General features: G+C 40.2%; 2 annotated features.

The window, feature by feature from the left end:
• Positions 4,449-5,033: an enhancer, noted in NCBI's record as "H3K27ac-H3K4me1 hESC enhancer chr5:30823216-30823800 (GRCh37/hg19 assembly coordinates)". NCBI's record gives its function as "activates a minimal SCP1, AML or CMV promoter by ChIP-STARR-seq in primed H9 embryonic stem cells {active_cell/tissue: H9 hESC(primed)}" and the evidence as "EXISTENCE:reporter gene assay evidence [ECO:0000049][PMID:30033119]".
• Positions 5,034-5,618: an enhancer, noted in NCBI's record as "H3K27ac-H3K4me1 hESC enhancer chr5:30823801-30824385 (GRCh37/hg19 assembly coordinates)". NCBI's record gives its function as "activates a minimal SCP1, AML or CMV promoter by ChIP-STARR-seq in primed H9 embryonic stem cells {active_cell/tissue: H9 hESC(primed)}" and the evidence as "EXISTENCE:reporter gene assay evidence [ECO:0000049][PMID:30033119]".

Here is a 9,329-nt window from a genome sequence, read left to right on the forward strand (position 1 = left end):
TCTAACTGGTGTGAGATGGTATCTCATTGTGGTTTTGATTTGCATTTCTCTGATGGCCAGTGATGGTGAGCATTTTTTCATGTGTTTTTTGGCTGCATAAATGTCTTCTTTTGAGAAGTGTCTGTTCATGTCCTTTGCCCACTTTTTGGTGGGGTTGTTTGTTTTTTTCTTGTAAATTTGTTTGAGTTCATTGTAGATTCTGGATATTAGCCCTTTGTCAGATGAGTAGGTTGCGAAAATTTTCTCCCATTTTGTAGGTTGCCTGTTCACTCTGATGGTAGTTTCTTTTGCTGTGCAGAAGCTCTTTAGTTTAATGAGATCTCATTTGTCAATTTTGGCTTTTGTTGCCATTGCTTTTGGTGTTTTAGACATGAAGTCCTTGCCCATGCCTATGTCCTGAATAGTAATGCCTAGGTTTTCTTCTAGGGTTTTTATGGTTTTAGGTCTAACGTTTAAATCTTTAATCCATCTTGAATTGATTTTTGTATAAGGTGTAAGGAAGGGATCCAGTTTCAGCTTTGTACATATGGCTAGCCAGCTTTCCCAGCACCATTTATTAAATAGGGAATCCTTTCCCCATTGCTTGTTTTTCTCAGGTTTGTCAAAGATCAGATAGTTGTAGATATGTGGCGTTATTTCTGAGGGCTCTGTTCTGTTCCATTGATCTATATCTCTGTTTTGGTACCAGTACCATGCTGTTTTGGTTACTGTAGCCTTGTAGTATAGTTTGAAGTCAGGTAGTGTGATGCCTCCAGCTTTGTTCTTATGGCTTAGGATTGACTTGGCGCTGTGGGCTCTTTTTTGGTTCCATATGAACTTTAAAGTAGTTTTTTCCAATTCTGTGAAGAAAGTCATTGGTAGCTTTATGGGGATGGCATTGAATCTGTAAATTACTTTGGGCAGTATGGCCGTTTTCACGATATTGATTCTTCCTACCCATGAGCATGGAATGTTCTTCCATTTGTTTGTATCCTCTTTGATTTCCTTGAGCAGTGGTTTGTAGTTCTCCTTGAAGAGGTCCTTCACATCCCTTGTAAGTTGGATTCCTAGGTATTTTATTCTCTTTGAAGCAATTGTGAATGGGAGTTCACTCATGATTTGGCTCTCTGTTTGTCTGTTGTTGGTGTATAAGAATGCTTGTGATTTTTGTACATTGATTTTGTATCCTGAGACTTTGCTGAAGTTGCTTATCAGCTTAAGGAGATTTTGGGCTGAGACAATGGGGTTTTCTAGATATACAATCATGTCGTCTGCAAACAGGGACAATTTGAGTTCCTCTTTTCCTAACTGAATACCCTTTATTTCCTTCTCCTGCCGAATTGCCCTGGCCAGAACTTCCAACACTATGTTGAAAAGGAGTGGTGAGAGAGGGCATCCCTGTCTTGTGCCAGTTTTCAAAGGGAATGCTGCCAGTTTTTGCACATTCAGTATGATATTGGTTGTGGGTTTGTCATAGATAGCTCTTATTATTTTGAAATACGTCCCATCAATACCTAATTTATTGAGAGTTTTTAGCATGAAGGGTTGTTGAATTTTGTCAAAGGCCTTTTCTGCATCTATTGAGATAATCATGTGGTTTTTGTCTTTGGCTCTGTTTATATGCTGGATTACATTTATTGATTTGCGTATATTGAACCAGCCTTGCATCCCAGGGATGAAGCCCACTTGATCATGGTGGATAAGCTTTTTGATGTGCTGCTGGATTCGTTTTGCCAGTATTTTATTGAGGATGTTTGCACCAATGTTCATCAAGGATATTGGTCTAAAATTCTCTTTTTTGGTTGTGTCTCTGCCCGGCTTTGGTATCAGAATGATGCTGGCCTCATAAAATGAGTTAGGGAGGATTCCCTCTTTTTCTATTGATTGGAATAATTTCAGAAGGAATGGTACCAGTTCCTCCTTGTACCTCTGGTAGAATTCGGCTGTGAATCCATCTGGTCCTGGACTCTTTTTGGTTGGTAAACTATTGATTATTGCCACAATTTCAGCTCCTGTTATTGGTCTATTCAGAGATTCAACTTCTTCCTGGTTTAGTCTTGGGAGAGTGTATGTGTCAAGGAATTTATCCATTTCTTCTAGATTTTCTAGTTTATTTGTGTAGAGGTGTTTGTAGTATTCTCTGATGGTAGTTTGTATTTCTGTGGGATCGGTGATGATATCCCCTTTATCATTTTTTATTGTGTCTATTTGATTTTTCTCTCTTTTTTTCTTTATTAGTCTTGCTAGCGGTCTATCAATTTTGTTGATCCTTTCAAAAAACCAGCTCCTGGATTCATTGATTTTTTGAAGGATTTTTTGTGTCTCTATTTCCTTCAGTCCTGCTCTGATTTTAGTTATTTCTTGCCTTCTGCTAGCTTTTGAATGTGTTTGCTCTTGCTTTTCTAGTTCTTTTAATTGTGATGTTAGGGTGTCAGTTTTGGATCTTTCCTGCTTTCTCTTGTGGGCATTTAGTGCTATAAATTTCCCTCTACACACTGCTTTGAATGCGTCCCAGAGATTCTGGTATGTTGTGTCTTTGTTCTCGTTGGTTTCAAAGAACATCTTTATTTCTGCCTTCATTTCGTTATGTACCCAGTAGTCATTCAGGAGCAGGTTGTTTAGTTTCCATGTAGTTGAGTGGCTTTGAGTGAGATTCTTAATCCTAAGTTCTAGTTTGATTTCACTGTGGTCTGAGAGATAGTTTGTTATAATTTCTGTCCTTTTACATTTGCTGAGGAGAGCTTTACTTCCAACTATGTGGTCAATTTTGGAATAGGTGTGGTGTGGTGCTGAAAAAAATGTATATTCTGTTGATTTGGGGTGGAGAGTTCTGTAGATGTCTATTAGGTCCGCTTGGTGCAGAGCTGAGTTCAATTCCTGGGTATCCTTGTTGACTTTCTGTCTCATTGATCTGTCTAATGTTGACAGTGGGGTGTTAAAGTCTCCCGTTATTAATGTGTGGGAGTCTAATTCTCTTTGTAGGTCACTCAGGACTTGCATTATGAATCTGGGTGCTCCTGTATTGGGTGCATATATATTTAGGATAGTTAGCTCTTCTTGTTGAATTGATCCCTTTACCATTATGTAATGGCCTTCTTTGTCTCTTTTGATCTTTGTTGGTTTAAAGTCTGTTTTATCAGAGACTAGGATTGCAACCCCTGCCTTTTTTTGTTTTCCATTTGCTTGGTAGATCTTCCTCCATCCTTTTATTTTGAGCCTATGTGTGTCTCTGCACGTGAGATGGGTTTCCTGAATACAGCACACTGATGGGTCTGGACTCTTTATCCAATTTGCCAGTCTGTGTCTTTTAATTGGAGAATTTAGTCCATTTACATTTAAAGTTAATATGGTTATGTGTGAATTTGATCCTGTCATTATGATGTTAGCTGGTGATTTTGCTCGTTAGTTGATGCAGTTTCTTCCTAGTCTCGATGGTCTTTACATTTTGGCATGATTTTGCAGCGGCTGGTACCGGTTGTTCCTTTCCATGTTTAGCACTTCCTTCAGGAGCTCTTTTAGGGCAGGCCTGGTGGTGACAAAATCTCTCAGCATTTGCTTGTCTGTAAAGGATTTTATTTCTCCTTCACTTATGAAGCTTAGTTTGGCTGGATATGAAATTCTGGGTTGAAAATTCTTTTCTTTAAGAATGTTGAATATTGGCCCCCACTCTCTTCTGGCTTGTAGGGTTTCTGCCGAGAGATCCCCTGTTAGTCTGATGGGCTTCCCTTTGAGGGTAACCCGACCTTTCTCTCTGGCTGCCCTTAACATTTTTTCCTTCATTTCTACTTTGGTGAATCTGACAATTATGTGTCTTGGAGTTGCTCTTCTCGAGGAGTATCTTTGTGGCGTTCTCTGTATTTCCTGAATCTGAACATTGGCCTGCCTTGCTAGACTGGGGAAGTTCTCCTGGATAATATCCTGCAGAGTGTTTTCCAACTTGGTTCCATTCTCCCCATCACTTTCAGGTACACCAATCAGACGTAGATTTGGTCTTTTCACATAGTCCCATATTTCTTCGAGGCTTTGCTCATTTCTTTTTATTCTTTTTTCTCTAAACTTCCCTTCTCGCTTCATTTCACTCATTTCATCTTCCATTGCTGATACCCTTTCTTCCAGTTGATCGCATCGGCTCCTGAGGCTTCTGCATTCTTCACGTAGTTCTCGAGCCTTGGTTTTCAGCTCCATCAGCTCCTTTAAGCACTTCTCTGTATTGGTTATTCTAGTTATACATTCTTCTAAATTTTTTTCAAAGTTTTCAACTTCTTTGACTTTGGTTTCAATGTCCTCCCATAGCTCAGAGTATTTTGATCGTCTGAAGCCTTCTTCTCTCAGCTCGTCAAAGTCATTCTCCATCCAGCTTTGTTCCGTTGCTGGTGAGGAACTGCGTTCCTTTGGAGGAGGAGAGGCGCTCTGCGTTTTAGAGTTTCCAGTTTTTCTGTTCTGTTTTTTCCCCATCTTTGTGGTTTTATCTACTTTTGGTCTTTGATGATGGTGTTGTACAGATGGGTTTTTGGTGTGGATGTCCTTTCTGTTTGTTAGTTTTCCTTCTAACAGACAGGACCCTCAGCTGCAGGTCTGTTGGAATACCCTGCCGTGTGAGGTGTCAGTGTGCCCCTGCTGGGGGGTGCCTCCCAGTTAGGCTGCTCAGGGGTCAGGGGTCAGGGACCCACTTGAGGAGGCAGTCTGCCGGTTCTCAGATCTCCAGCTGCGTGCTGGGAGAACCACTGCTCTCTTCAAAGCTGTCAGACAGGGACATTTAAGTCTGCAGAGGTTACTGCTGTCTTTTTGTTTGTCTGTGCCCTGCCCCCAGAGGTGGAGCCTACAGAGGCAGGCAGGCCTCCTTGAGCTGTGGTGGGCTCCACCCAGTTCTAGCTTCCTGGCTGCTTTGTTTACCTAAGCAAGCCTGGGCAATGGCGGGCGCCCCTCCCCCAGCCTCGCTGCCGCCTTGCAGTTTGATCTCAGACTGCTGTGCTAGCAATCAGCGAGATTCTGTGGGCGTAGGACCCTCCGAGCCAGGTGTGGGATATAATCTCGTGGTGCGCCGTTTTTTAAGCCGGTCTGAAAAGCTCAATATTCGGGTGGGAGTGACCCGATTTTCCAGGTGCGTCCGTCACCCCTTTCTTTGACTCGGAAAGGGAACTCCCTGACCCCTTGCGCTTCCCAGGTGAGGCAATGCCTCGCCCTGCTTCGGCTCACGCATGGTGCGCGCACCCACTGACCTGCGCCCACTGTCTGGCACTCCCTAGTGAGATGAACCCGGTACCTCAGATGGAAATGCAGAAATCACCCGTCTTCTGCGCCGCTCACGCTGGGAGCTGTAGACTGGAGCTGTTCCTATTCGGCCATCTTGGCTCCTCGTTCCTGCTCTTAAGGGAAATGTTTCCAGCTTTTGCCTGTTCAGTATGAGGTTGGCTGTGGGTTTGTCATAAATGGTTTTCATTATTTTGAGGTATGCTCCTTCAATGTCTGGTTCCTTGAGGACTTTAACATGAAGGGATGTTGGATTTAATAGAAAGCTTTTTCTGCATCTATTGAGAAGATTACATGGTTTTTTTCTTTTAATACTGTTTATGTGGTAAATTACATTTATTGATTTGCATACATTGAACCAAACTTACAGCCCAAGAATGAAACCTACTTCACTATGGCAAACTAACTTTTTGATGAGCTGCTGAATTCAGTTTGCTAGTATTTTGTTGATGATTTTTGCATCTATACACATCAGGAATACTGGCCTGTAGTTGTCTTTTTTGTTGTGTCTTTGCCAGGTTTTGGTATCAAGGTGATGCTGGATTTATAAAATAAACTGTGGAGAAGTCCTTCCTTGTTCATTTTCTGGAATAATTTCACTGGAATTGGCACTAGCCCTTCTTTGGACATCTGGTAGAATTTGGCTGTGAATCCATCTGGTCCAGGGCTTTTTCTTGTTGGTAGGTTTTTTATTACCCATTAAGTTTCAGCACTCAATATTGGTCTGTTCAGTGTTTTAACTTCTTCTTGATTCAACCCTAAGAGGTTGTATGTTTCCAGGAATTTATTCATTTCTTCTGCATTTTCTAGTTTGTGTGTATAGAGGTGTTCATAAGAGTCTCTGAAGATCTTTTGTATTTCCATGGGATTGGCTATAATATCACCTTTGTCATTTCTGATCATGCTTATTTCTATCTTTTCTCTTTTTTCTTTGTTAATCTAGCTAGCAATCTCAATCCTGTTTATCCTTTCAAAAAATCAAATTATAGTTTCATCAGTTCTTTGGATTATTGGGTCCCAACTTCATTCAGTTCTGCTATAATTTTAGTATTTATTTTCTCCCGCTAGCTTTGGAATTAGTTTGCTCTTCATTTTCTAGTCCTTCTAGGTGTCACATTAGTTCATTAATTTGAGATATTTCTACCCTCTCGAGGTAGGCATTTAGTGCTATATACTCTCTTCTTAACACTGCTTTTGATGCATTTCAGAGATTGTGATATGTTTTGCTTCTGTTTTTATTTATTTCAAATATTTTTTTAATTTCTGCCTTAGTATTGTTTACACAAAAGTTATTCAGGAGCAAGTTACTTAATTTCCAGATAATTGTGTAGTTTTGGAGACATCTTCCTAGTATTAATTTTTACTTTCGTTCCACAGTGATCCAAGAGTATGCTTGGTATTATTTTCATTTTTTTGAATTTATTGAGACTAGCTTTATGGCTGGGCACATGGTTGATCTTGGAGTACGTTCCACGTGCAGACAAGAAGAATGCATATTCTGTGGTTGATGGATGGGGTATTCTGTGGATGCCTATTAAGTCCAATTGGTCATATGTCAATTTTAAGTCCAGAATTTGTTAGTTTTATTGCTCGATGATCTGTCTAATGCTGTCAGTGGGGTGTTGAAGGCCTCCTCTATTACCATGTGGCTAAGTCTTTTGGGAAGTCTAGAAGTATGTTTTATGAATCTGGCGCTCCAATATTGGGTTCATATATATTTAGGATACTTAAATCTTCCTGTTGAATTGAAACCTTTATCATTATGTAATGTCCTTCTTTGTCCTTTTTTACTTTTTTATAATTTAAAGTCTGTTTTATCTGATATAAGAATGATTATCTCTGTTCTTTTTTGTTTTCAGTTTGCATGGTAGATCTCTCTCCAACCCTTTATTCTGAGCCTACTGGTGCTGTTACATGTGAGATGGGTCTCTTGAAGACAGAAGACAAGTGAGTTTTGTTTTTTTATCTAATTTCCCATTCGGTGCCTTTTAAGTGGGGTGTTTAGACCATTTACATTCAAGGTTAATATAGATATGTGAGGTTTTGATCCTATCATGAAGTTGATAGCTGGTTGCTTTGTAGTTTCCATTGTGTGGTTTCTTTATAGCATCTGTGGTCCATGTACTTAAGTGTGGTTATTTGTTGTTGTTGTTTGTTTTTATGGTAGCAGGTATTGTTCTTTCATTTTCATGTTTAGAACTCCCTTAAGGATCTCTTGTGAGGTTGGTCTAGTGGTAACACATTTTCCTGGAGCTCATTTGTCAGAAAAAGATTGTATTTCTCCTTTGCTTATAAAGCTTAGCTGGGCAAAATATGAAATTCTAGTTTGGCATTTATTTTCTTTAAGCCTGCTGAAAATAAGCCCCCAATCTTTCCTGGCTTGTAAGATTTCTGTTGAAAGTCAACTGTTAGCCTGATGAGGCTTCCTTTTTATGTGATCTGATGTTTTTCCCTAGCTGCCTTTAAAATTTTTTTCTTTAGCATTGACCTTGGATAGCCCAGTAACTGTATGTCTTAGTGATGTTTGTTTTATACAGTATCTCACAGGTGTTCTCTGGATTCCTTGTATATGGATTTTTGTTTTTTTGAAACAGAGTCTCACTCTTGCTAGAGGTAGAAATCCAGAAACAAGGATTTCTACCTCCAGCAAGATTGGACAAATTTTCTTGAATTATTATTCCTTCAAATATGTTTTCCAGATTATTTACTTTTTCTCCTTCACTCTCAGGAATGCCAATAATTCATAGGCTTGGTCACTTTACACAATATTTCTTGAAGACTTTGTTCATTTTGTAAAATTCTTTTTTCTTTATTTTTATCTGACTGGGCTAATGTGAAAGACTAGTCCTCAAGCTCTGAAATCTTTCTTCTGCTTCATCTTGTCTGTTGATAAATTGAATTGTATTTTAAAATTTCTCAAGTGAGTTTTCCAATTCCAGATGCTCTGACTGATTTCTTTTTAAGACACTTATCTCTTCCTTCATTTCCTGGACTGCTTTAGAAATTTATTTCCTTTGATTTTCCACCTTGTCTTGGATCTCATTAAGCTTCCTTGCAATTCATATTTTGAATTCTTTATCTGTCAGTTCTGAGTTTCCATTTTGGATAAGAATCAATGCTGGAGAGCTCATGTGATCCTTTGGTGGTATCACGACATTCAGATTTTTCATGGTGTCAGAATTCTTGTACTGGATCCTTCTCATCTGGAGATGCTAGCACTTCTAATTTTTGTAACTTTTTTCATGCAGATAGGATATTTACTTTCTTTCTTTCTTCCTTTTTCTTTCTTTCCCTATAATATTTTTTTCTCTTTCCCTTTACCCACTCCCTAGGGGGTGTGACAATAAAGAATGTTGGGTAGGGTCTTTTGGCTTTGCTTCTATAGCCCGATGCACTTCTGTCAGCAGGTTTTATATTGGGCTATATGGTTTGACCTATAAGCCCATAGATAGCACTTATGGATAGAGCTGGCTGTGGCCAAAGCAGCTGGGTATATCTTGATCCTTGTTTACCGGGAGAAGCTCTCTGTTGCCTCTCACAATGGGCTGATCTGTGGAGTTCACAGTGGTCTGAGCTCCCTGGTCAGCCCCACAGGAGTGGGAGGCAAGATGGGTGGAGCAGGACTGTGCAGATCCTACAGGTCCCCTGATGACAGGCACCAGTGACAAGGGAGAATTCAGTAGGTGGCCACCAAGAACCCAGAAGTGTGCCTAAGTGTGGATCTGGGAAACCTCTTCAGTCCATGTTCTCTACATGGGCAGAATGGGAAGTTTAAACCCCTAATCCAGGAGAGTGGGTACTCCAGATGCCTGAAGATCTGCCCGGGCATAAAGTGTATAGGGTCCTATCTCACCACAGTCTCTACACAGGAAGGGTGGGCTGGCTTAGGCTGCTGGTTCAGATGAGCAGATGTCCTGAATGCCTAGAGATCTTCGTGGGCATGAACGGAGAGGACCCCACTTCGCCACAATCAGAGTTTTTTGTTTTGTTTTGTTTTGTTTTTCTCTCAGGGTATGACAGTCAAGTAAAATCAGAACAGTTGCTATTCATTTGCCCAATCCATTGTCAAAATTCTGATTCCCAACTAAGCTTATGAAAGA

Source organism: Homo sapiens, chromosome 5 (assembly GCF_000001405.40).
Source record: "Homo sapiens chromosome 5, GRCh38.p14 Primary Assembly".
Lineage (NCBI taxonomy): Eukaryota > Metazoa > Chordata > Mammalia > Primates > Hominidae > Homo > Homo sapiens.